Below are 27,413 nucleotides of genomic sequence, written 5' to 3'. Positions count from 1 at the left end.
GAAGAGAGAAGCCTGGTGTGCTGAAATGCAGGGTAGCAGGAGAGACTGGAGAGGAGACAAGTGAATTGAGTCCTAGAAAACAGGCACATATACAAGAGGCTGGGGTGAAGGGGATTTTTCAGTCAGTTCCAACTAGTTTTTTGTGGTTGATCTTGAAAGGGGCCCATGTTTCTTAACAGAAATATAGAAATCTGAACTTACTGGATATTTGATTTCTTTATATGTGACTGCACACATGCTACTCTCAGATGTGTGTGTGTGAGTTTAGCATTGTGTTTCAGTTTTATCTATAATCTGTGATTGAGCAAATCTCTTGAGAGATCAACGGAGTTAAATTATCTTGATACTGTGCACTTGACCAAAATTAAACTGTCTCATCTTTGCCAGATTTAAGAACCTTATCTTCATAAGAACTTGGAATAGAGAAAAATTTGTTTGGTATCCATGCCCTCTTACCATGAAGTTGTCTGGGATTTATTCTACTCTTCCAATATTTTTTTAAATCCAGCTAGTTCATCTCAGAAATGTCCTAGATGCACACTGTAGTAGCGTTGAAAATAGCCATTCAACATTTAATCTGTCATATCAATTTGCTTCCCACACACTATCCTGAGAAGTGAAGGTGTGGAAAAGAAAAAAAAAAATCTGTTTAGCTTGGCAATAATCAGTAGCTGCTGACCATCCAAGCTAATGGATTAAAAGTAGAAAAATATAAGTCTCTATTTAAGGTTTCAGGTAGAACAAGCATCCCATTGTCCTTGTACCAAGTAGAGCCTACCATAAATTAACACTTTTAGTGCGTAGATCCAGACAGCCTGAAGACCAAGTCATGCTCTTCAAACTATACCGTGACCTACTGTAAAAGTCTGCTATGAACAGTGAATCTGGCATTAGTCCTGCCTCTTGATTGATTGCAACAGTAGGAAGCAGAGGATGTGCCCTGGGGTTATCCCTCCCAGAGTGCATACAAATATTGGTAGGGAGGGAGTTGAGGAGTTTTCATGTGGCAAATTGAAGCTGGGCTAACATAAAAGTATGCAACAAAATAAATAATCTACATAGAAATAATAAAAAGTGGCTAAACTATCATTACATAATATAATAATAATTACACATTATTATTAAATGAATATTTGCTTCACTTTTCTGTATAAGAACTTTTCCTGCTTTGAAGCTGGCAACCTGTTGCCTCATCCCAAATATGGAAGCCGTACTGTGGCAGATTGCCTGTTGGCATGCATCTAAAATTACATTGCACAAGTTGTCCTGATTAAAAGGAAATCAGTTTCATTAAGTTCTATAACACCTTCAAACATGAAAGGTTAATATACTTACTTCCTCATAAGCTTTTTAAATGATTGTGTTGATGAGGATCACCAAATACATAAGCAAGAAAGAACTTCTGAGTCTCGTGATAAACTACACATAATCACAGATTAAAATATTTATATGTTTCAGGTGGCAGAACTTGTAACCAGTGAGTTCTTCGAACAAGGAGATCGGGAGAGATTAGAGCTCAAACTCACTCCTTCAGTGAGTTCATCCTTTAATTATAACGTATTTACCCTTTTGAATGACATTTTCAAAAAGAACTCCAAATTACAAGTTGGAAATGGGAAAGACTGAAAATGGGTTTAAGGAAGCACTCCTGAAAGTTTAAAACCTTAATTAAACTCAAATGCTAAACACTCTTATTCCCAAGTTTCTGATTAAGAGTGGTGAGCTACTTAACAAGCATTTCCTGCGCACCCACAGTGGGACAAGTAGGCACGAGGGAGGATGAGCAAAGTGGAGTTTGAATAATTCAAAGCCCAGTGCTGGCATTTCATGTATGCCTACTTTAGAATAGAAACACTGTGCATCAAAAATTAAAGGAAGGCTTTCTAGCTTTGAGAAGCTAGATTTTATTTTCCAATTTCCAACTTTCAAAATCCCAAAAGCAAATCATTTCAAATCTCTGTTTCTTTTGTCTGTAAAATGAAAAAGTTTCACCTGGGGAACTAGGTTCTGGTGATTTGAACGCTATTTATATTGGACTTATCTGCTCAGTTATTACTTAAGAATGTTTACTTTACGCTCAAGATGATGCTGTTTTTAAGCATAAGGATGCAGAAGACATAACTGCGTCAGTCACCACCTCAAGAGGGGCAGCCTCTTTATTACTAACCAATGATTAGCTAAAAACATATAACCCAATGACTCTGAGAGTGGTGCAAAGCATTTTAAAGCCTAGCATAGCACAGTAGATTTAGTGATACTCAAGGAAGGTATCAATTGTCAAGAATGTCTGTTTATGAGAACCCAAATTAACTGAGCTTGAACATTTGGAGGTATTTATAAGGTCTTCAAGTTTTAAGACATCCTTCTTTGCTGACATTTAAAAACAAGGAAAAGCAAGAGAACTAGCTCCTAGTTTGAATAGTTTCATCTGCTTGAAGTCAGAACGCACAGTCTTGCTAATTTTGAATATTCTTAATTGGTTGCTTATGTACAAAAGATCAGGAGGCTACATAGGTTGAAACACACACAACAATTATTTGAGTTTTCAAAGCAACATTGACTTAGTTTCTCAAAACATCCCTTTTTTGGTGGTGTCATCAAATTTGGTTATAAAAATAAAAATATTAGCTTGGGATACATACAGTTAATGTATAAAACCTAGTATGACCCAAATTCTGTCATATCTACTTTCAAATAAAAGCTTTTCCCCCTTTAAAAACTGTTTCAGAGGCATACTCTGAAGGGTTTACAATGCAGCAATACCACAGGTCATTTAATTAAATGAAAAAAATATGAGTAAATTGCCAGCACTGGTGAGCTGGTGGGTGCAGTAGCGCAGCACTAAGGAGCCTTTATCTGTAGGCTCAGGTAAGGCATTTTCTGTAGACATAAATGAAATTAATTTTGCGGTAGAAACATAGCTCTAAATGCTCCTGTCTTCTCACAAAGACTACGGAGCACCACTGATGACCATCTCCTCAGGGGAGGCCTGGCTGATGTGGCAGGGTTAGCCCTCAGTTCTTTTCCAGAAATATCTGTAAATGCATGCACCCAGAGCTGACAGCTGCTGTGCCCATTATCCCTTGATATTTAGGAGGAAAACTGTCCTGGAGCCCCCTCAGGTATCATGGTCCCAGGAGTCATGGGAGTCACTTCATGGAGACAAAGGCTAATCTGGCCCACAGCCAGAGGGTCAGGATTGGAAGCAGTGAGTCAGTTAGGAAAGCCTGCCTGAGTGCCTCCATGTGTCGGGCATGAAGCAAGGCACCTTGTTTCCAGCAATGAGTAAGACACCATCTTCCCTGCCCTCAAGGATCTTGTCAACTGGTGGGAAATATAGACATGAAATAAATGATTACTAATACTTATTTTATGAGATGCAAAATGCTGTGAAGCACAGGACTGTGTGGGGCCTCACACTCATTTTTTTTCTCATCAAGCATTGATTAAGAAGTGACTAGTACAATAATAAATCCCCTAAAATTATGGTCAACTAATCTGCAGCATGGGTGCCAAGATAATGTCTTTTCAACAATGGTTCAAGGACAACTGCATATCCACAGGCAAAAGAATGAAGTTGGCTCCCTACCTCTCAGCATACCCTGAAATAAACTCAAAATGGATCATACACCTAAATGTAAGGGCTAAAACTATAAAATTCTTAGAAGAAAATATAGGTATAAATCTTCTGGATAGGGGTTAGCCATGGTGTCTTAAATATGAAACCAAAAGCACAGGAGACAAAAGACAAAATGACCCAGAGATGTTGGTCCAGAGATGTTGAATTGAGCTTCATTAAAATTAAATTGAACAGCCAGGAGTGGTGGCTCACGCCTTTAATCCCAGCGCTTTGGGATGCTGAGGCGGCCTGATCACTTGAGGTCAGGAGTTCGAGACCAGCCTGGCCAACATGGTGAAACTTCTACTCTACTAAAAATACAAAAATTAGGTGTGGTGGCAAGCACCTGTAACCCCAGCTACTTGGGAGGCTGAGGCAGGAAAACCGTTTGAACCCAGGAGGCAGAGGTTGCAGTGAGCCCAGGTTGTGCCACTGCACTCCAGCCCAGGTGACAGAGCAAGACTCTCTCAAAATAAATAAATAAATAAATAAATAAATAAATTGAACTTTATCAAAATTAAAAACTTTCATGGATCAAAGGACACTATCAAGAAAGTAAATTTTCCCATATTATGGGAAAATATTTGCAAATCATATATCTTTTATGGGCCAAGTATCTGGAAGATAAAAAGAACTATTATAACTGAACAATAGAAAGATAACTCAATTTAAAAGATAGGCAAAGGATCTGAACAGACATATCTCCAAAGAAAATATGTAAATGGCCACAAAGCACATGAAAAGATGCTCAAAATCATTAGTCATCAGGGAAATGCAAACTGAAACCACAATGAGATATCACTTCACAGCCACTAAGATAGCTATAGCAAAAAAGACAGACAATAACAAGTGTTGGGTGAGGCTGTGGAAAAATTGGAAGCTCATACATTGTTAGCAGGAATGTAAAATGGTGCAGCTGTTTTGAAAAACAGTTTGTCAATTCCTCAAAAAGTTAAACAGAGTTACCATATGACTTAGAAATTCTACCTCTAGGTATATCCCCAAGAGAAATGAAAACATACATCCACATAAAAACTGTATGTGAATGTTCACAGCTATTATTCATAATATCCTGGAAGCAACTCAAATGTCAATCAACTGATGAACAAATAAATAAGACATCTATACAATGAAATATTATTTGGCAATAAAAATGAATGAAGTGCTGATGCATGCTACATGGGTAAACCTTGAAAACAGTGAAAGAGGCCAAGTCACAAAAGACCACATATCATAAGATTGCATTTATATGAAATGTGCAAGATAAGCAAATCCATAGATAGAGAAAGTAGATTAGTGGTTGCCTAAGGCTGGGAGTGCGGAAAAAAAGCGAGAATGACTGCTAATAGTATGGGGTTTCTTTGAGGATGATAATAATGTTCTATAATTGTAGTGATAGTTGCTCAACTTTGTAAATATACTAAAAACCACTGCATTTTTTAAAAAAGTAACTTTATAATATCCACTAGAAATGGAATAATTAAATAAATATGAAAATTTTAGACAGAACTATAGAGAAAAGAAAACATAATTTTTTTTTTTTTTTTTTTGAGATGGAGTCTTGCTCTGTCGCCGAGGCTGGAGTGCAGTGGCACAATTTTGGCTCACTGCAACCTCTGCCTCCCAGGTTCAAGTTATTCTCCTGCCTTAGCCTCCCAGGTAGCTGAGATTACAGGTGCCCACCACCACACCCAGCTAATTTTTTGCATTTTTAGTAGAAACAGGGTTTCGCCATGTTGGCCAGGCTGGTCTCAAACTCCTGATCTCAAGTGATCCTCCCTCCTTGGCTTCAAAAAGTGCTGGAATTACAGACATAAGCCACCACACCCAGCCCAGAATAATATTTTTTAAAGAAACATTTTGTGTATTTATTTCTTTATTTTTATTTTATTTTATTTTATTTATTTATTATTATTATTTTTTTTTTGAGACTGAGTCTCACTCTGTCACCTAGGCTGGAATGCAACGACATGATTGTAGCTCAATACAGCCTCGACATCTTGGGCTTAAGCAATCCTTTCACCTCAGCCTCCTGAGTAGCTGAGACGACAAGTGTGTGCCACCACAGTTGGCTAATTTTTTTTTTTTTTTTTTTTTGTAGGGACAGGGGCTTCACTCTGTTGTCCAGGCTGGTCTTGAACTCTTGGGCTCAAGTGATCCTCCTGCCCCAACCTCTCAAAGTGCTAGGATTACATGCATGAGCCACCGCAGCCAGCTCTAAAGAAACATTTTGGATCAAGACTCATATTATTCACAAGAACTATCCCTCTCTCCAGCACATTTTCACAATTTTCTCCAAATTCCAGTCTTCTTTCCTGCTATTTCCCATCTTCCATTGCAAGACAAGGATGAGAAAAGCCTGGTGGAATCAGTGACCTTCTCCCCAATTTGGAGATATTTTCCTCAGATTTGGCAGCTAGTGATTTCTGCCCCACCCACTCCCACTCTTGTTCATACATCTGAACGATGCAGGATTTTCCTACATCTCTGGACCAAAGGGATTGCTTGGCTCCACCCTCATGGCCTATAAGGACACCAAAATAATGTGAATGCCACATTTTATGTAAAGGAAAGATAAAACTTACTATATAACATTAAGGGAGGGCAAGTTATAACTAGATAGCCCAGTCTTCTAGATAAGTAAGGGCACAAGGGAGCTTCTCTGGTCTGGGCCTGACTCCTTAAGAACAAAGGGAGAGACAGTCTCACTGGCACAGAATTGGCAGTGTTTGTTCAGTGAATTAATTTTAACACTAAAATTCCAATTGATTGTTTCCCTTAAGTCTGCCCAACAGAAAAATGTCATTTATTTTTCCCAAAAATATACCTAAATTATCTCAAACATTATATCATCATAAAGCTTAAGGGCTGGGAATGAAGAGATAATGAGTCCACCCACCATCATCCATACAATGATAAATAAATATTTAAAAATTTATTAATGACAGAACCTTACTGAAAAACATATGCAATTGCCAAATCAACCCCTACCCAGAAAAATTAGTATAAATGGTTTCTATTTACAATAAAATTGCTTTTAAGGATATTTTCCGATTTGTCCTATTCTATCCCAACCTCTCATAATGCAGAAATAAAAGCCTGCATTATTTTTGTGGCAGTAAAACATATTCCTTTCCCCTTGACCTGTACCCAATTCGCAGTGACCTGATGACTTGATTTAGTAGCAGTTACTTATATTTGAAGACAGGTTTTTGCCCCAAGAAGTTGCACGCTAGAAAGTTCAAGTAAATTTGCTTACAAATCTCATAAAAAGAGGTAAAAACATTTTATTTCTCATCATAGATAAAGGAAAAGAAAGTATGTGTAAAGATTGATTGTGATTTGCGAAGGGTTCAGTTTGTAAAAAAAATGGATCATTCTAGCAAAGTGTTTGACAAAGCACCCTGTAAAATACTTTGGTGTAATAAAGCGAGGTTCTTCCTGCCCCCCATTCTAGGCAATTTTTGATCGGAACCGGAAGGATGAACTGCCTCGGTTGCAACTGGAGTGGATTGATAGCATCTGCATGCCTTTGTATCAGGTACTTTGATTTGGGAGGGCCTACATGTTCTGACTGAATCAGAAAAGGAAAAGTGTGTATTTCTCAAAAGCACTCATTTGAGGAGACATTTCCAGGGTATGCACATTGCGGAGAGCTCTGGCTGCAGTTTGTCTTTCTTGGATTTCTGACTGTGCCCTGGCTGGGAAGAGTTGGTTCTAGGAGGCTGCAGACCTGCGTTCTCCACTTTCTAGGATATAATCTCCATGGGCCTCTACTCCCTCATCTGTAAACCAGGGATACTAATATTTTATTTACTATCTCTCAAACTGTGTCCCATAGAACATGAACATCCAGCCATCATCTAATAGCTATCTGTTCAAAAAAAGCTCACAGGCCCAAGAAACGTTTAAACTTGATCAGCTCAATTTCTCAAACATATTTGACCATGGAAATTTTTTTTTTTTACAAATTTTCTTTATTAATATAATGTGGGAATGAGGATTCCATGAAACATGGTGTTCGGCTCTGACCCCATGGTCTGATACAGGGGGTTTTGTGACGCACCTTCCAGCTTCAAAATCTGCCTGTCTCTGAGATGCATGAGACAAATCCCAACCAGTGAATTCTGAGCGAGATGTGCTAATGTTTCCAGCTCTGCTACTTGGTGTGTAGGCCTCTCCTTCTGAAAGGAGAAAAGTGTCGCTTTGAATGGTTCACACTGCACTTTTTGAGTGCGGATCAGGGCTGGCATCAGTTAACACTAACAGTTTATTGTACATTGGCTTTTAATTCTACTTCTAAGCATTTGCTTTCATTTGTAAAAACCTGGCAAGTTCTTTACCCACAACCTAGCTCAGTCAGACTGAGCTGCTTTCCTAACTTCAAAGTGAGAAACATGCAGGGAAAGCAAAAGCTCTTTAGTTCCTCACCCTATGTAACCCCATTAAAAACGCAGTATTGTTTTTTAAGGACCTCACAACCATCAAGTTCAAGATCATCTACCACTTTGTTTTCAGCACTTTTAGGAACTGCTGAGCCCTGTCACAGAACTCTGAAAACAAACAAACTTAGAATACTGTCTTGAAGATGGATATGTAATTTTTGATAACTATAACAAAAATAAATTCATTTTTGTTTTATATTAGCCATTAAATACATGATACCATAAAATCAGGTAAAGTTTTAAAATAATCTACAACTGCTTATTTTAGTTATAAAAGGAACATAATGTTCTTTTATTTAATAATGGAAGATTGGGCAAACAAAATAGAAAATGATGTATACTTTATTTTAAGGGGATCCTCAACTCTTTTTTCTTCCTGTCTGCTCCTCCCATCCTCAGTGTCTCCGAATAAGCAGTCCCCCATGTGCAAAGCTCAACAACTTTTGGGTCAGGTGTATCTTGCTTTGCAAAACTGACCTTGACTATACATGTTGAATTACTTTTTAATGTTATTCAGTTTTGTGTGCACACTTAGGCAATAAATGGGATGAAGAAATTATTCATGCAATTACTACATTCCTTTTACTTTGGGTAAAGCTTAGGAGGATGAAGATATGTATTGGGGTGGGAAGCTGATTAAGTTTTGGTACTAGTTTGCAAAGCTATTTTGGAGTGAACTCAAAGTCTACACACTCTTCCTATGTGTTGGTTATAGGAAAGGCTGTAAAGGATCCTCATATGGTTTTCCATGTTAATTTGTTTTATTACTGATTGACAATCCTTTAGGGCTTATCTTATGCTTCCTATTAAATGCTTTGAAATCTTTAGGTTACAAAGGAAGTTACTTGAATTTAAGTGGAAATAGCAGTTTCTAGAATTTAGGGAGTAATATTATCCCTTCACATTATATATCGTCCTGATTTTTCACATCTGTTTTACTTTACTACTTATCTGTCGGTTAGATACATCTGCTATTTTCAGCTTCAGGAAATTAACATATAGAAAGATTAAGTGATGCTCCCACCAAATTAGAGTTGTGTCCTGCTCACCCCTGACCTTTGTTTTGGTGTAGTGACCTTTCTAATGCCCTACTTCACCTCTGATGGAAATTTCTTGCACCATTTTTTTATTATTTAACTAACTGGGGAGAGATGTGTCATGCTGAAAGGGAATATGGAAGGAGCTATTTACAGAAGCTCATATTCATACTTGCTGCTGTATCTTTTCATTTAACAGGGGGTGAAAATCTTGCTCTTTTTGATTCCTTGTCATCACTAAGTAAAAAAAGATCTCATTATTTCATTTGTAAGTTTTATACAAGGCTTTGAAACCAATCATTTTAAGAGCCCTCAACTGAAACTTTGTAGGGTGAGTTTAAGTATCCTCTCTGAGGGTCCTATTTTATTTTATTTGATCTCATGCAGTGTTCTCCCTTCCCTCCACTATTTAACTGGATAATCTCACATTAACTGTTGGTGCTTCCGAAATGAAATTGAATCAGTCAGTGGGCAGGAATCACCATTTGTAGGAAGACACAACACCTTGAGGAAGTGACGAGCCAGGAAGGTCACTGATGTGACACCATTCACTGAGATAACTCAGTGAAAGTCAAGTTTGGGGTTTTGAACATAAAAATGCAATCATAAGGAGTCTGAGAGGATCGAAGGCAAGTGGGAAGTGTGCAGGTGGCAGGAATCCCTGATGTGATTGGTCTGAAATACAGCATAAGAATTCAGCTTTGCTTTACCATGTTGGTCTAGGCATATGGCAAAAGAATACCGAGGAGTACACATGAGACAAAGCATGTCCCCTCTAACAGCTAAGGCCTGACCCCAAGGTAGGGCAAGGTTGGGTGGCAAGAACCTTCATGTAGAGCCCAAGGCAAGCACTCTCATAGAGAGAGCTGGGATCTTCCTGCAGGTGGAGGAGGTTGGAGAGTTGGAGTCTACAGAGGGTGGGAGTTGACCCAGGGCACCCCACGGCTGGAGGCTCTTGAGTACAGCAGTGGGACAGAACAGCGAGTTTGGCAGGGGCGGGTGGCCAGGCTGCTGGGCAGTACATATGCATATGGTTTTGGTACAGCTTTTTGACTTCATTGACTTTCACTGGGTAGTTCAGTTTTACTTCATGGTTTTAAAAGGGTTGTGCTTGTCAAATATCAAATAGATAAAGCACTTTCTGTTTGTGTTCCTGTTTGCTGAGTTTAGCTCTTCTCCAAGCAAAGGGGAAGATTATCACTACTCTCAGTGCCTGAAGGGCTACTTATTTATGTGCCTAATTGGCACCTGCACCGGTATATTTTGGATGCCCAGTGCATTTAAAATCGAAACTCTTATCTCTGATAGCTTCAAGTTCCACTCAATTTTTTACTACATTGAGGGAAAACAATGAGGAACTCCTCCTCCTCCAAAATCTATTCACTAGGAAGTTATCTAAGTAATCTTGAGATTGACAGAAAGCGACAGACAGAAAATATATAAAAATATTTAAATAAAACAGAAAAAAACGATGTGCAGGCCCTCTTTACCATATATATTGTCAACGAGAGAGGCTGACTGGTTCTATCTCAAGTGGAGAAAGACAGCATGTCATTGTGGTATTGATTTAGCTCTCCCAACATGCCAGGTGGGTAGGACACATGCACAGAACAGTCCCAAATCGATGAATAGCTATCTAATAAGGATGTAGGCCAGGCTTATATCCATATGTTTATATGTGAGCATAGAGTTCTCTGGAACTTGCTCTCTTTTTAATCTTCAGACTTTTCCTTAAAGAGAGAGAGACAGAGAAGGAGAGAGAGAGAGAGAAGAAAGAAAGAGAGAGAAGGAATGAAAGAAAGAAAGAAAGAAAGAGAGAGAGAGAGAAAGAAAGAAAGAAAGAAAGAAAGAAAGAAAGAAAGAAAGAAAGAAAGAAAGAAAGAAAGAAAGAAAATGATTGTAACAGGATGAAGTCGTGATTTATGGGTGACAGCCTTTTAATCAGGAAGCCAAGAGTGGGCAGGGAACCATCAAAGCACATTCCCCAAGAGAAGACTCAAGCCCTGGTTAGTTAGCTGTGTCCTAGCAGGGTATCTCGAAGGAATACATTGACATCTGATTCCTGCACTTTCTGCTGTCTTTGCACCCTGCTGGGGATCCATTAGCCCTGCTGCTCAACGTCTTTGGAGGGGGAAAAAAAAAAAGAAGAAGAAGGAAGAAAAAAAGACACAATCAAACTTTGAAATTGCCACACCAGCCTTAGGGATAAACAGAAACCCTCATGTCACAGTATCATTTTGAGCTTTTGTCTGCAATAGCAAGCTAAGTTCTGGCTCCTTATTTTCATTCTCAACTTAACCAAATCTCAGTGTACCTAGAATGTCAGTGGTGCAGAGTCATTATAAATCTTTTGTTTGTTAAGAACTGAGAGATTCCATTTTTATTATGAATGTAATCTGATTTTTAGCTCATCCCAAACTGGCTTTTGATTTTGGAGTGGATATTTTCTCACAGATAATGCAAAAGGATGTGACCTGGCCAGCATCTAGCCAGAATAATTTTCTCTTTCCATTAAGAGTAGGAAAATTTTGGTAAGGGTAGTGCCTCTCTATTAAAATGTCATGAGGTTTCTGAAGCAGGCAGGGCTGCTAATGTTAAGATTTACAGTAAACTTTGATTTTTTTCTCTGCCTTCACTTTTTTTTTTTTTTTTTTTTTCCCCCTGAGATAGAATTTTGCTCTTGTTGCCCAGGCTGGAGTGCAATGGCTTGATCTCGCCTCACTGCAACTTCCACCTCCCAGGTTCAAGCGATTCTCCTGCCTTAGCCTCCTGAGTAGCAGAGATTACAGGCATGCACCACCACACCTGGCTAATTTTTTTGTATTTTTCGTAGAGATGGGGTTTCACCATGTTGGCCAGGCTGGTCTTGAACTCCTGACCTCAAGTGATCCACAGGCCTCAGCCTCCCAAAGTGCTGGGATTATAGGTGTGAGCCACCATGCCCAGCCTCTGCCTTCACTTTTAATGGTCATTTTGAAAAATACATTCCACATGATGCAATATTAATAGGTTCTCTGGAAAAAAGGGAGAAAAAACTTTAAAATATAGTTGAAATAGTAGAATGGGAGTTAGAAACTGACAAACTAGAAAAGAGGATATAAGGTGCTACTCCAGGACACTTTCTCTGGATACTGATGAAAGTACTTTAAAAGCAATCCAGTGTTCCCTAAAAACAACTTCATCAGATATTAAAAAAAAAAAAAAAGACACCACTCAAATCAGTTAGTTTCCTATAAGTGTTTCTCTATGACTTTTAGTATTCTTGTGGATGAAAGGAAGAGATAGTTGGGTCTAGTTTCTTACTTGTCCTTACAAAGGGGGTATATATATGGAATGGCATCATACATAACTCAAAAAATACAGGAAGAAAGAAGGAGGGAGGAAGGGAGGAATGTAGGGAAGGAGAGAGAGAGGGAGGGAAAAAAGAAGAGGAGAGGAGAGGGGAAGGGAGGAGAGGCAGAGGAGGGAAGGGGAGGAGAGAAGGAAAGACAGAAGCAAGGAAGGAAGAAAGGAAGGAAAACAACTTCTTATTTTCTCTATAACTGATCTATCTGGCTCCACTTTTTCCTGGTGATGGGGAGTAGGGTGGTGGCTGCATTCAGGGACTATTATTTAAACTTGACTATTAAAGTATCTCAATCTCTTCTGGTTAAAGTACTCCTAATCAGAGCTCTTTCTCCTCCCCAGCTGACATCTAGGTACCAGGGAACTCACCTATGGTTGTGATGATTTTGTGACCTTCAAGAGAAGGACCCCTGGTACACATCTTGCCTGTTGGGTCTTTCTGGGTTAACTGAGAGGTGGCTGGTCGCAACTCTGGCTGTGATGCTGTGCCAGCCCCGTGTGACTATGGTGTGGGTGTGATGAGTACTTTGTGCCAGCCCTGGCCACCAGCTCTGGCTACTTAAGTCTGTGGTCCTTGTGGCAGCCTCTTGGCAAGCCCCCTTCACCACCCCCAGCAGCTTCCTGGCCAGTTCTAGCTGATTGGTTCTCTTGGCATTTCCTCAGTCCCCCTGGGGCACCCATGAACTCCCAGCTACTTTCTCTTCACCCTGCTGTCCACATAACTTCCTAAGTCTTTTCTAATATGCTGCCTGGGCGATACCAACTTGCTTTAGGAAGATTCTATTATTTTCCTGAATTAGGCTCTGAAATTTGAAATAAAAGCCCTCCCCTTAAAGGTTTGACCCCCAAGGAATGTGAAGCCAGGACTACTCTCCCTCTCTCTCACCCGCCTCTTTCTGCTTTCTCTCCCCTCTCTCTTTCTCCTCTCTTCTCTCTCCCTGCCCCTCTCCCCACTCCCCCTCTTCCCCTAATATTTCCATTTGCTTTGCTTTTCCTGATGGGAACTATCCTTACATGGTCTCCTCTGTGTTCTTCCTGCTAGAGCTTTGTAGTAAAACTTGAAGATCTAACTTAGCCAGGTTTGGTTCTTAATAGAGAAAGGAGAGTTCTGAAATGTAGAAAGCCACTTCACCTTGCAAAGCTACAAGTAGGGCTATTCTTTTTCAAAGCTGAATGATGGCAGCTTGTTTCTAGCTGGGAACCGCCATTTGCCTGAAGGAGGGAAGCCTACTGAGATGACGGGAGAGGAGCCCCAGGCATCACCATTCAAACAGAATGGAAAATGCACTGGTTTACCATTCTCAAAATATTGTCCTTGTTACATAATAATGTACCCAAATCTGAGTGCTGATAGATAGTAAAGCCTGTTTATCTCAGAAAATATTCTATGTGTTATTAGTCAAATATGAATGGAAGAGAAACATTAATATTCAAAAGTGTTGGTTTTATGTAATTTATAGGCCCCTCCACTACAGTCTATCTTCCAAATTTTTGACAAAATGATGTTTTTTTAAAAAGAAATCTGATCACAGCATCTCCCTGCTTTAAAGACCTCAGGTTACTATCACCATCTATAAGGTACCTTCCGAAGTCCTCGGTATAGCATTCGGAAACCCCCTCATTCATTCTGAAGCTCACATCTATTCCTTGGCCTCATCTCCTTTCACCCTGCCCACTTCCTTACCAGACACCCTTTGCCCAAGCTCAGGACTCACTAGCCCTTTGGTCCATCTTCCCTGGCCTCTGCCTATGCCTCCTCGCTCTCATATGTGCCTGGAAGACACCAGCCCAAGCTGTGACTTCTGTAAAACCTCTACTTCCCCACAACATTCCACAGCACTGTCTCCATCTCTTTATAACCACACACTCTGTATGTGATTATCTTTCTGTCTCTTCCCCATTAGACGGGTTTCCTGGAGCCACCATATTCCTGGCACCTAGCACAGTGCTAGCACATTAGAGCTGCTCAGCCAATGTTTGTTGAACAAAGGAATGAAGAAACAGAAAAGTGAATGATGGGATGCAGTATAAGCAGTGGAATGTATGAAGTAAGCTTATAATGTCATTTAGTTATCACCTATAAATACAGTCATGTGTTGCTTAACAACAGGGATACATTCTGAGAAATGCATCTTTGACAATTTCGTCATGCAAACATCGTAGAGTGTACTTACACAAACCTATATTGTACAGCCTAATACACACCTAGGCTATATGGGATAGCCTATTGCTCCCAGGCTACAAACCTGTACAGCATTTTACTGCACTGAATACTGTAAGCAATTGTATCACAATGGTAAATATTTGTGCATCTAAACATATAGAAAAGGTACAGTAGAAATATGATATTATAATCTTATGGGGCCATGGTTGTAGATATGGTCCATCATGGACTGAAATGCCATTATAAGGTGCATGACTATGTATAAAACCTTTCATCAGAGTATGCACTGTTATATTCCTGCCCATAATCTGGAGTATATGGCCTATGATATCTTTTTATAAAGTGGTTTAGTTCTCATCATAGTTGAATTCTACTGTAAAGGGCCAGTTAATAGCCATGAATTCAGAGCTTTGACTTTTTCAGCTAGGAAATACATTAAATTTTCTTTTATCCAGCATTGCCAGAAAATGTAGTCCTCTAGTTATTTTAATATTCAGGTTAAGAGATGGAGCTAGCATATGTCACAGATAGATTTCAAGAAATGTATATTGTATATTGCATACATATGATTTCGAGAAATTATAATACAATAAAATACACTAAATTTATCATGATTAAAATTTAATCTTTCTTTGACTTAGAAAACTTTTAGGATCCTGTAGTGTCTAAAAGTAATCAGTACAAACATCAACTAAGAATATGCTCTGTTCTTAGCCAGGCATGGTGGTGTGTACCTGTAGTCTCAGCTACTTGGGAGTCTGTGGTGGGAGGATTGCTTGAGCCCAGGAGTTCGAGGCTGAAGTGAGCTATGATTGCAACACTGCACTCCAGCCTGGGTGACAGAGCAAGACCCCATCTCTTTAAAAAAAAGAAAGAAAGGAAAAGTAAAAAAGAACGTGCTGGGCAGGAAGAAGTTCTGAGTAGCAGTGAGGACTCATTAATAGAAGAATGGATTAGTTCCTGTTCCTTCCAACATTATGCATGATAATTGGCAGGTGAAGGCATCTCATACCCTTCGCTACATCTCAGAGTTCTTCCAGCATACCTGATGTTTTTCACCTCCAAAAAGTCTTTTGACCTGATAAACAACCATCTCTATGCATATTTTTTGGTAAATAAAATGGACTATAATTTGTTTTATTTCATAAAACTTTGAAAAAAATACCCATTCTTTGTATGTTAGTATTAATATATTCCTATTCATATGTATTTTATGAGCTCAAACAGTGCCATGAATCCATATTAAAATGCTGGAATCCAATGGAAAAAAATAGGATATACCCACAATAAGGTTTTTGAGGACAGATTTAAGATAAGATCTTAATTCTTATCTTAAATTCTTCTTATCCAGCTGACCAACATACGTAACTCTTTTTTAAAGGATTTCTGCTTTGGAATAATGAAGCTAAATGTCTTAACCCCAAGTCCTTACAAGGCTTGGAATGTTCTCTTCCCTTAAGTAACTTTATAGTTTTTTTAGAGAGCATATTTTAAAAGCTTATTTGCCTTTTCTTCATGAGCCTCTCTTCTTCGTCTCTCTTCGGAAGAAGTAGGAAAGAAGCAGGAAGGGTGGGAGGAAAGGAGGGAGGAAGGAAAAAAGGAGAAATATATGTGAATGTTAAAAACTCTGCTGTTGAGGTATCAAAAGCAAATGAGAACAGTAAAGAAAATATACATCACCTTAGAGAATACCTAAATTGTCAAGAGTGACTGTTGGGAGAAATAAGAACCTCACATTCTCTTATTCCTGATACCCCTTCATACTACTGTCCACATCCAAACACATTTTTACCAGGGTACATGAGTGTATTCTGCTTTGGTCACAACATAAAGTTCTTAATATGTTTCCATGTTTCTACATAATTTTTACATTGTCCTTTTTTCTTTCTTTCTTTATGAGACAGAGTCTCACTGTTACCCAGGCTGAAGTGCAGTGGTGCAATCTCGGCCCACTGCAACCTCTGCCTCCCAGGCACAAGCAATCCTCCCACCTCAGCCTCCTGAGTAGCTGGGACTATAGGCACACGCCACCACACCTGACTAATTTTTCTGTATTTTCATAGAGACAAGGTTTCACCACATTGCCCAAGCTGGTCTCCAACCCCTGAGCTAAAGTGATCTGCCCACCTTGGCCTCCCAAAGTGCTGGGATTACAGGCATGAGCCACCGCATCCAACTTTCACATTATCCTTTGAAATGGCAGCCTAGTATTCCGATCAATTGACTTGTTGTAATTTATTTAATTGTCCCACACTTTTTTCCTAATAGAGATAATTCTGAAATGAGCACTTTGGTGCCTCATTTTATTGACTTATTTAATAGTATTAAGCATGATTAGAAATAATAAAGTTGCATTTCTTTTTTTCAAAGAAAGATATACACTCTGAAGGAAACAGAAAATAAGTGGAGATAAGCTATCCTCAAATATTGGAAGCTAAGAAGGAAGTAATCTCCCAGAATGTCTGCACAAGGGGAGAGCAACAGGGAGCCAGCCGATCTGCCTTTCAGAAGGAATGCCTGAGAGGCTCAGGAGTTAGGAACAGCCAAGGGTGGATATGTTAGTTTCCGAGGGCTGCTGTAACAAAGTACAGCAAACTGGGTGGCTTAAAATAACAGAAATGTATTTGCTCACAGTTCTAGAAGCTAGAATTCAGGTGTCAGCAGGGGTGGTTCCTTGTGAAGGCTCTGAGGGAGAGTCCGTTCCATGCATCTCTCCTCGTTGCTGATGGCTGCTAGCAGTTCTTGACATCCTCTGCCTCTGCCTTCACATAACGTTCTTTTGTGTCTGTGTTTTCACATGACCTTCTTATAAAGACACAAACCATTGGATTTAGGGCCCATTCTAATCCAATATGATCTCACCTTACCTTGATAACTAACATCTGCAAAGACCCTATTTCCAAACATGGCCACATTCACAGGTACCGGGGTTAGAACTTCAACATAGCTTTTGGGAGTACACGAGTCAACTCACGACAGAGAGGTTGAGAAATCAGCCTGGAAACAAGAGGGAAAGAAAGGTTAGAAGTTGGTAAATGGGATCTCAGGAATCTCCCACAACCCACACAGCCAGGTCAACAGCCTGTGTAGCCACTGCCAAGTCAGGAGACTGGAGAGTTCTCTCAGAGCACTCATGGAGAGAATCCATGGCTGAAATCTAAAGCCCATGGAATGATTTGCTGGACTCTCAGATGCCCTACGACTCTGCACCTGGAGTGCCAGCAGCCAGATATCCCCAGAAGCAGAAAAGTGGGAATCTTCTCTAGGGAAACAGAACAGCCTCAGAGAAAAGATCTGCATGGACTTGCACTTCATATTCTCTCGATGAACCAATTCCCTGCAGGATGCCCTTAAAATGGAGCCACCATTTGACAATCACAGCTCTCCCACTTACCTGCCCTGGTCCACTTTGTACTCTGCCTTGAATAGGTCTTTTGTCTTTCAGTGCCTTGCATTTAAATATATGCAAACAGATAAGGTCCACAGAATGTTTGAGCAAAGCCTCCAATATGAAAGAATAGATGCAAACCAAAAAGCATGAAAGAGAAGGGAATTCAGAGCATACAGTAAAGGCAGGAAACAAAAGACAACTTCAAAAAAGCTTCCATTGCCATCAAAAAGCTAAGAAATATGTTGTAAAACAAGGCCAAAATGCCTGGGGTATTTTTTCTTCTCTATTAGTTTCTAGCTGTGCCATCATGATTTTTCTCCTTCATTTGGATTCCCTATATTAGTAGGGTCTCCTGACTGCCTCCTTGCCAGCTGCCTCCACTCTGATCCCAGTCTCATGCGTATAGTCCCATCCTCAAGGCTCCATGTCACCACCAGAGCTATCCTCCCAAAGCACAGCTGATTGCATGGCTCACCTGTTTAAAGTCCTTCAGGCCCTCCCTCCCCCTTACTACAGGAAAAAAATCTTAGTTGGCACAATTGACCTTCCCATCCCACCTCCTCTCTCTCCTTCCTTTGTACCCTCTGCTCTTGCCATAAGCTAAATGTTCCACACCCCGTGCCTGTGCTCACCTAGCCGTCTGCAGGCCTACCTTCCCCTCCTCTCCCCATGCAACTCCTAGTCTTACTTGAGGACTCTGCTCAGATGACATGTTCTTAGGAAACCTCTGTTTGCCCCCAGGAGGTAGATATTCTAGCCTCTGGGACCCTCTTTGGGTTCCTTTATTAGAACATCTTAATTGTTTACATTCACTGTCTCTGTTACTCAGCCAGGATGCCCAGCACAGCTGAATCTACCAACCTCTTCCCTCATCCAAGCTGCAGCAGCAGTGTGTGTGTGTTGTTATCAGCCACTGGGAGACCCCACAGGGCTGCCTCAGCAACAAAGCAAGCGCAAGAGAGTGACAGGAACGGGAAAGATCGGGTTATCACATTGTTACTAGTAAGCGCTTGCATTTCCTCAGCATCTTATGCTTTCAGGATGCCCTGAAATAACCTATCACTCTTGAATTGCCCTGTGGCGGTGTTAACATTCCTGCCTTTATTTCACGGATGAGAAACTAGGGAGGGTATACTTGCTGCTCACAATCGCCCCAGTGAATTAGGGGAGTTTCAGCATCTGAACCAATAACTCCTACAAGCAGAGGGATGAGCTACAGAACCATAAAATAACAAAAAAGGACAAATTATTCTCCAAGTCTTTGATTCAATATATCATCATCGAATTTAGGTTTTAGTGTTACAGGTGATCTGAACAGCTGAAAAATCTAAAGAAGAAAAGAGAAATAGAGAAACAGAGACATACAGAAAGAGAGACAGCAGGAGGGAGAAAAAAAAAGACCTAAGAAGAGGGCCTAAGAGGAGGCAGTAAGGGCTGAGTGTTTTTCTAACTGTCCTCTTTCAAACCTGCCCTCTACACTCATAAACTGAGGACTCGCCATCCTCAGCTTTCTTTTTATGGTGATCACCACTGGCTCGTAGGTTTGGCTGAAAGCAGCTTCACTCTGCACTTTTTAAAGGTTTTGGGCCTCACAAAGTGACTTTCTTCTTGGAGCAAATGGAATTGATGATAGGCAATATCAACCTTTCCAAGAGTCTGAACAAAGGGAGGTGAAGTATGTGGAAAAGCTTTGGGAAGAGTACACCTATTATAGTTAAAGCCCTCCAGCATGTGAGTCACTATTGTTATCATTAATATCATCTCTCAACCTCAGTATCTCTGCTGTAAATTTGGATAATAATAGCCAAGCTTCCTGTCTCACAAAGATGTAGTGAGTCCATAACAACACTTTTGAGCACTTAGTATGTGCTCAAGACTAACTTTCCAAGCATGATCTGATTTAATTCTCTTCACAATACCAAGTTAGATGCTATGAGGATCTTTTTATTTCAGATGTGAAAACTGAAGCTATAGAGCTTCTGTAACTTACCTAAGAATATATAGTAAGTGACAGGGCATAGATTCTTTCTGCTTTCAAATCTGTGACTCCTAACCAGTATGACCTAGTGCTGCCTGAGATAATGTATGTGCAGGTGTTAGTATTATACAAACCTCAGATCATTTATTGGGTCACCTTTAACAGAAGAAACATGCTATTTTTATACTAGAATAATTAACTAGGTGCATACCTGCAGACCATCTGTAGGAGGGGAAAGCAAAACCCTGAAAGGTCACTATTAAGTGACCTGACTTGATAATGGCAGAGCTGGGTTTAGAACCCTAGACTTTGGACTTTTTGTTTAAGGTTTGTTCCAATATATCCTACTATCTATGTATAAAATTTGAAATATATTACCTCAAAGTTTTCAAAACTATTCTAAGGAAAAAAATTTTAAAAGGAAATCTACTGAAGTAGCAAGTTCTGCTTGCTTTCAAACAAGCAAAAAGCAGACTGAACCAGAGAGTTTGTTTTGAAGGGCAGCATGGTGAACCAAGATGCCTCCAAGAACAGGGGCAATGGAATGAAAAGTCAGCAAACAAGGTAGAAAAGACAGCCCTGATAGGGCCTGAGAAACTGAACAGAAAATCTGAAGGAAGATAAATGGATAATTTAACAGCCATTCAGTTTATAAGAAAGACAAATAACAAGCTACATTGCATCAGAAAAGGACTAGAAATGATGATGGATGGGACCCTTCAAATGAGTGGTGAACACAACAGAATCACAGTTGCCTGCAGAATTCCCAGCTGAGGGCAAATTTGAGGAACTAAATAAGGATATGAGACTGATAGGGATTGAAGAGTTTTTCAAAATCTATTTAATGGCCAGGCAGGAGACATCGATCGCTTTTCAGAGGAAATGCTGAGGAGCAATGAGGTAGTCAGCCTTTATTTGTGATATGGATGGGGGAGTGGGAGGAGGGAGGTGTTTATTTATATACGATGTTATTGCAACATACATTAAGGTATTAAAATTATTTTTGAATTATGGTGGTAAAGCACTAAATTTTTTTGATCTTTGTGGAAATAAGCATTTCTACTTTGTGCCCCTGTACTTGTAAGCCTTTTTTAACAATTAACCAATCAGGTGATTTAATATTTCTAACACATGACCAAAGATTGCTATTTCCTTTATCTGTTCATGATAGACTTTTAAATTTTTTATTGCTAAATAGTTTAGACACCCTCAGTGAACACAATTCACAAAGTACAAAAGGCACAAATTATCAGAGAAAAGAGATCCTCCCTCATACTCCTTTTTGCAAGTCACCCAGTTCCTTTCACTGGGGCAACCACTGTTAACCAATTCCTGCGTATGCTTCTAAAGATAGTTTATATACAGTGTGTTTTTACACTGTTTTTAATACATAATGCTTCTACATTGTTTTCTATGTAAATATAGTGCATATGCATGCATCTATATATACTATGCTCACACATATGTATCTATGTGTAAGTGCATATGTATCTATGAACATATATGAGCATAGTGTATATCCTGCTCCATATCTTGCTTCTTTACACTTAATTTATTTTTTAGATTATTCTTTTTCAGTCTCCATGCAGAAGATGTCTCATTCTTTTTGATGGCTGCATAGTATTAGATTTTAAAGATGAAAAATAAATTATTTAAACAACAATTAATTATTTATTTATGGACATTGATGTTGTGTCTAATTGTTTGCTGTTGTAAACAATGTGCAATAAATATTCTTGTAAATACACAATTTTCATACTTTATTTTTAGGAGAAATACCAAGAAATAAGATAACTGGGCATTTGGCATATAAGCATTTGAGATCGTGATAGATATCACCAAATTTCTCTCTGTGGAGTTTGAACCAATTTACATTCCTATCAGTAATGTCTGAGATGCCTATTTCTCTATGCCCTTACCAACACAATGTATTACCAAATTTCAATTTTGCTAATACGATAGCTATAAAATCTATCTCATTATAGTTTCAATTAGCATTTTCCATATTATAAATAAGTATGATCATATTTTTAGTATAGATTTATTTACTTAGAAGCCATTTGTATTTCTTCTGTAAATGCTTTATATTTTTGCCTATTTTTCTATTGAACTAGGGCTATTTTCTTACTGATCCATAGGAGCTCACTATCTATTAAAGAAATAAACCCTTATTATTTGCAAAGGTGACAAATATGTTTCCAAGTTTGTTATTTATCTTACCTAGTTTTCTTCACATCAGTTTTTGACTGAACTCTTTCCTTATTATTTGAATGGTCACTGTTATCATATACTGATTCCCTTAACTTTGTTTCTATTTTTAGTCTTTCTATCAGTTCTACTGATCTATCTGCCTAGTTATACTATTTTAATTAATATCACTTTATAATATATTTTAATGTCTCATAATCCTAGTTTCACCTTCCTTATTATTCTTTTTCAATATTTTCTAGGTATTCTTATTTTTTCACATAAGCTTTAAAATTTAGTTCAAAAGGAAATCTGGTTTGTCTTTTTACTGGCTGCTTATTTAATTTTACATGGTGAATGTTCGAGAGTTAAATTAATATGAAACTTTCCAACATTTAAAAGATAGAAAATGTTGCCCATTAGGAAGTTTAATTTATAAAGTTATTATATTCCCTCTTAAACTGCACTCTAAAAATGAAATAAAACTACTGAAAATATTGGTCCCTCTGTGCCTACACAAACAAACTTTTCCCATATCTTTGGCTTTTGGGGAGTTAGCAATGTAGTTAAAGAAGAGCCACAATAACATACCTTCTACCGGGTCTTCCAGTAGACAGACTGGCCCCTTTCTAGGACAAAGAGAAGGCCAGCTAATGATACAATATCCTCCTCAGACATATACCTAGTGGTATATGTAACATATTCCCTTTCTATCTTTTTATTATCTCAAAATTGTCACTCTTTTTTGGAGACAGGGTCTCACTCTGTCACCCAGGCTAGAGTACAGTGGTGCTATCATAGCTCACTGTGACCTTGAACTCCTGAGTTCAATAAATCCTCCTGCCTCAGCCTCCTGAGTAGCTAGGATTGCAGGTGCACACCACCACACCAAGCTAATTTTTAAATTTTTCTGTAGAGACAGGGTTTCAATGTGTTGTCCAGGCTGGTCTCGAACTCCTGGTCTCAAGCGATCCTCCCACCTCAGCCCCCCAAAGATCAGGCATGAGCTACTGAGGTTGGCCCACTGTCTTTATCAGGCTGTAAAATTAAGAAAAAGAAGTTTCCCTTGCCATAGGGAGAGAGACCACCAACATAATAAAGGATTTTTATCCCCCAAGGATCTTTACCTAAAGACAAAGCATTTCTCCTCGATGCTTTGGGTCTGGTCCTCTGTAGATCCGGGACATTGGGATTCATGGACTTGATGGTTCCTCCCCGTCTCAGAACTAAGCATGTCTGGTGCTAGGCAGGAAGCCACCTTTAAACTCTTGCAAGAAATGCTCAGTAGTCATCATATTTGCATGGTGCACACTAAGCAGTTCAGTAGTGTGTATAGTTAGGACTCTCTTTTGGGACTCTTTTGGCACCCTCAAATATAAGCTAAAAATTTAGAACCAATGCTAATAGAATATTCTAGAATACATTCTTTGAGGTCCTATAGTGACTTACACCGAGCACCATTCACACCAAGGACAGATATTGGCAATTCTGTATTTGTAAACCCATTCCCACACAGACACCCTATCCATTATTTTAGGAAATCCTAGAACTTGAGGCATGTGGGAAATATACAAAAAATGTACAGTGAATGAATGTTTGCAGCTCAACAAACTAAAAGTTTTAAGTGATCCTTTTTACACATTGAACTTTGAAAAAATAATAGTTTTATATATTTCTATGAAATTTCAGGTGATGGTATTAGCAGAAAACATTCCAGTATATGGAAAATGGATTATTACCACGTGACTGCTTTTTAGTTACATGTTCCAACCACCTCTTGTAAGAAGCCCCATTCATCAAAGGCTGTGGCTTCTGGGTCAGCAGCCATTCCTTCCAAGTCAGAAGTTGCCTACACAATGAACATGATTGATTAGCTACCAGTCTGCTCTGAAAATCCAACTAACAGGATAACCAAGGACAGCATTCTGGAGGGGCTCATTATAACACAAGAAACTGTTCTTGCTCCCATTTACATGAGCTGTCTTTAGGCTTGCCTGTCCTTTACAACTTAGAACTCTTGTTTTATTTTCCCAGGGCAGGGTAGAGTAGATGAGTCAAAGATAAAAGATGCACAGACTACATCTAACGTTTGGGAAGTGGTGTTTCTTCTTTACTCAGCAAGACCTCCACTTTCCTGTGAATCTGTTCTGAACCAGCATCAGAGACATAGAACAAAAAAAGTTGCACCATTGTCCTCAACACTGCAGTAAGGTGTGAGATACCCATTGTTACTAGTGTGCCAGTTGAGACCCCTGATGTAAAGACACCATGAGCCTGGTACTCAGCCAAGCCTGGACTGACATTTCAGCTCTGCTGTGTACTTAACCATGTAAACTTTGGCTCTTTAACTTAGTTTTTCCAATTCCAGGTTCCATATCTGCCAAAACAGAGCCAATAATAGCTATCTCACAGCACCATTCTGAGTTGTAATCAGGTCACATATGAAGAACTCCAAGTATGGCTCCTGGAACATAGGGCACATGAATACTCAGTAGTTAATTCATGTTAGCAAGATGTGCTTTACTTTCTATCACAGCAAGCAAACAGGTGGCCCACAGAATAGATTCAGCTCACAGACTTGTTTCATTCAGTTGAATACAGTTTTTAAAATTGTAAAATGTCCAGTTTGCCATAGTCCCCACCACTCCCAACTCTATCATGCAGCCTATTTCAGTCATTAACTTTAGTGGCCTGGCCCTGTAAACATTTTAGTTTCAGACTCTTGCCCTATATTATGGAAATAACAATGCAGTTAATCCAAAAAGACTAACATTCCTGCCTCATTAATTCAGAATGTTAATGTCATTTGTGAATATTATTTTCCACAAAAGAATCTCTTGTGCATATAAATAAGCAAAACAAGTAACTTGAGAGGTCAGGAAGGAACTGGAAAGAGAAAAGAAAGAAGGAGATAAAACTGCTGTAATGCATTGTTGCATTTTCACTTTTACATGCACGACTAATCTGCTTCAAATCTTGGGGAAAAAATGGTCTCTTCCTAACTTATTACTAATAGTATAATTAGCTTACAGGATATTAGACATTGATGCTACAAACATCATCTTTTGTTATAACTTGGGTAGACTATGCCCTTAATATTCCAACTGCAAATCTGAATTATTCTTGTGTTGGATTCTAATGAGCTAATATGCCTTCATACTAAGCATTATCTTTGAGTATCAAGATGCCCAAAACACTGTGCCACCTGCACAGATAGTCAGAAAATAGAGACCTACAATATGAAATCAATTTTCTCATTTAGGAATTATATTTAGCTCCTAGTAAAAAATAAAAATAATCTAGAAAAGCCAATGCTATACTGCTATTATATGGCAGTTCCATAGCCATCAGAAACCTAGTTCTTGGCCAGGCATGGTTGCTCATGCCTGTAATCCCAGCACTTTGGGAAGCCAAAGTGGTGGATCACTTCAGGTCAGGAGTTCATGGCCAGCCTGGCCAACGTGGTGAAACCCCGTCTCTACTAAAAAGATTATATATATACAAAAACTAACCAGGCCTGGTGACACACACCTGAAATTCCAGCTACTAGAGAGGCTGAGGCAAGAGAATCACTTGAACCCAGGAGGTGGAGGTTGCAGTGAGCCAAGTTTGTGCCACTGCACTCCAGCCTGGGTGACAGAGTGAGACTCTATGTAAAAACAAAAAAAGAAAGAAAAAGATAAAGAAACCTAGTTCTCCTTTATCTTTCCTTAGCACATGGCTGCCGTAGTCAAGTTTGCCTCATAGTCACAAGATGGCCACTCTGGTTCCAACTATCATGTGCATATTTGTATTAGTCCGTTTTCACACTGCTAATAAAGACATACCCAAGACTGGTTGATTTACAAAAGAAAGAAAGGTTTAATGGACTTACAGTTCCACGTTGCTGGGGAAGCCTCACAATCATGGTGGAAGGCAAGGTGGAGCATCACATTTTACATGGATGGCAGCAGGCAAAGAGGGAGAGCTTGTGCAGGGAAACTCACATTTTTAAAACTGTCAGACTTTCTAAGACTTATTCAATATTATGAGAACAGCATGGGAAAGACCTGCCCACATAATTCAATCACCTCCCACTGGGTTCCTCCTACGACATGTGGGAGTTGTGGGAGTTACAATTCAAGATGAGATTTTGGTGGGGACACACCCAAACTGTATCATTCCACCACTGGCCCCACCCAAATCTCATGTCCCCACATTTCAAAACCAATCATGTTTTCCCAACGGTCCCCCAAAGCCTTAGCTCATTTCAGCATTAACTCAAAAGTTCACAGTCCAAAGTCTCATCTGAGATAAGGCAAATCCCTTCTGCCTATGAGCCAGTAAAATCAAAAGCAAGTTAGTTACTTCCTAGATAAAATGGGAGTATAGGCATTTGATAAATACACCCATTCCAAATGGGAGAAATTGGCCAAAACAAAGGGGCTAAAGGCCCCATGCAAGTCTGAAATCCAGTGGGGCAGTCAAATCTTCAAGTTCCGAAATTATCTCCTTTGACTCCGTGTTAAAACAAGAGTTTTAGCATCCAGGTTATGCTAATGCAAGAGGTAGGTTCCTGTGGTCTTGGGAAGCTCTGCCCCTGTGGCTTTGTAGGGTACAGCCTCCCTCCCAGCTATTTTCATGGGCTGGCATTGAGAATCTGCAGCTTTTCCGGGTGCACAATGCAAGCTGTCAGTGGATCTACCATTCTGGGGTCTGGAGGATGGTGGCCATCTTCTCACAGCTCCACTAGGCAATGCCCAGGTGGGGACTCTGTGTGGGGGCTCCCCCCCACATTCCCTCCCACACTGCCCTAGCAGAGGTTCTCCATGAGGGCCCCACCCCTGCAGAAGACTTCCTTCTGGATATACAGGCATTTCCGTACATCCTCTAAAACCTAGGCAGAGATTCCCAAACCTCAATTCTTGACTTCTGTGGACTTGCAAGCTCAATACCACATGAAAGCTGCCAAGGTTTGGGGCTTGCACCCTCTGAAGCCACTGTCCAAGCTGTACCTTGGCCCCTTTTAGCCATGGCTAGAGTGGCTGGGATGCAGGGCACCAAGTCCTAGACTGCACACAGCAGGGGGACACTGGGCTTGGCCCACGAAGCCATTTTTTCTTCCTAGGACTCTGGGCCTGTGATGGGAGGGGCTGCTTTGAAGACCACTGACATGGCCTGGAGACATTTTCCCCATTGTCTTGGGGATTAACTTTCAGCTCCTCATTACTTATGCAAGTTTCTGCAGCTGGCTTGAATTTCTCCTCA

At 39.7% G+C, this 27,413-nt stretch overlaps 1 protein-coding gene across 4 annotated transcripts in view, besides 3 other annotated features; it reads left to right on the top strand.

Annotated features, from left to right (window-relative positions):
• The window catches only part of PDE11A (phosphodiesterase 11A), a 485,096-nt gene that overhangs the window by 437,314 nt on the left and 20,369 nt on the right, over positions 1-27,413 (top strand). For all 4 annotated transcript variants that reach the window (NM_001077197.2, NM_016953.4, NM_001077358.2 and 1 more), the window contains 2 exons: positions 1,459-1,533; positions 7,077-7,160. In NM_001077197.2, the coding sequence (NP_001070665.1) occupies positions 1,459-1,533; positions 7,077-7,160 (159 nt within the window). The remainder of the gene's footprint in view (positions 1-1,458; positions 1,534-7,076; positions 7,161-27,413) is intronic.
• Positions 7,729-8,231: an enhancer, noted in NCBI's record as "NANOG hESC enhancer chr2:178527523-178528025 (GRCh37/hg19 assembly coordinates)". NCBI's record gives its function as "activates a minimal SCP1, AML or CMV promoter by ChIP-STARR-seq in naive H9 embryonic stem cells {active_cell/tissue: H9 hESC(naive)}" and the evidence as "EXISTENCE:reporter gene assay evidence [ECO:0000049][PMID:30033119]".
• Positions 10,894-11,538: an enhancer, noted in NCBI's record as "OCT4-NANOG hESC enhancer chr2:178524216-178524860 (GRCh37/hg19 assembly coordinates)". NCBI's record gives its function as "activates a minimal SCP1, AML or CMV promoter by ChIP-STARR-seq in naive H9 embryonic stem cells {active_cell/tissue: H9 hESC(naive)}" and the evidence as "EXISTENCE:reporter gene assay evidence [ECO:0000049][PMID:30033119]".
• Positions 12,950-13,450: an enhancer, noted in NCBI's record as "H3K4me1 hESC enhancer chr2:178522304-178522804 (GRCh37/hg19 assembly coordinates)". NCBI's record gives its function as "activates a minimal SCP1, AML or CMV promoter by ChIP-STARR-seq in naive H9 embryonic stem cells {active_cell/tissue: H9 hESC(naive)}" and the evidence as "EXISTENCE:reporter gene assay evidence [ECO:0000049][PMID:30033119]".

This window comes from Homo sapiens, chromosome 2 (genome assembly GCF_000001405.40).
Source record: "Homo sapiens chromosome 2, GRCh38.p14 Primary Assembly".
Classification (NCBI taxonomy): Eukaryota; Metazoa; Chordata; class Mammalia; order Primates; family Hominidae; genus Homo; species Homo sapiens.
This window is presented reverse-complemented; position numbering and strand designations above follow the sequence as displayed.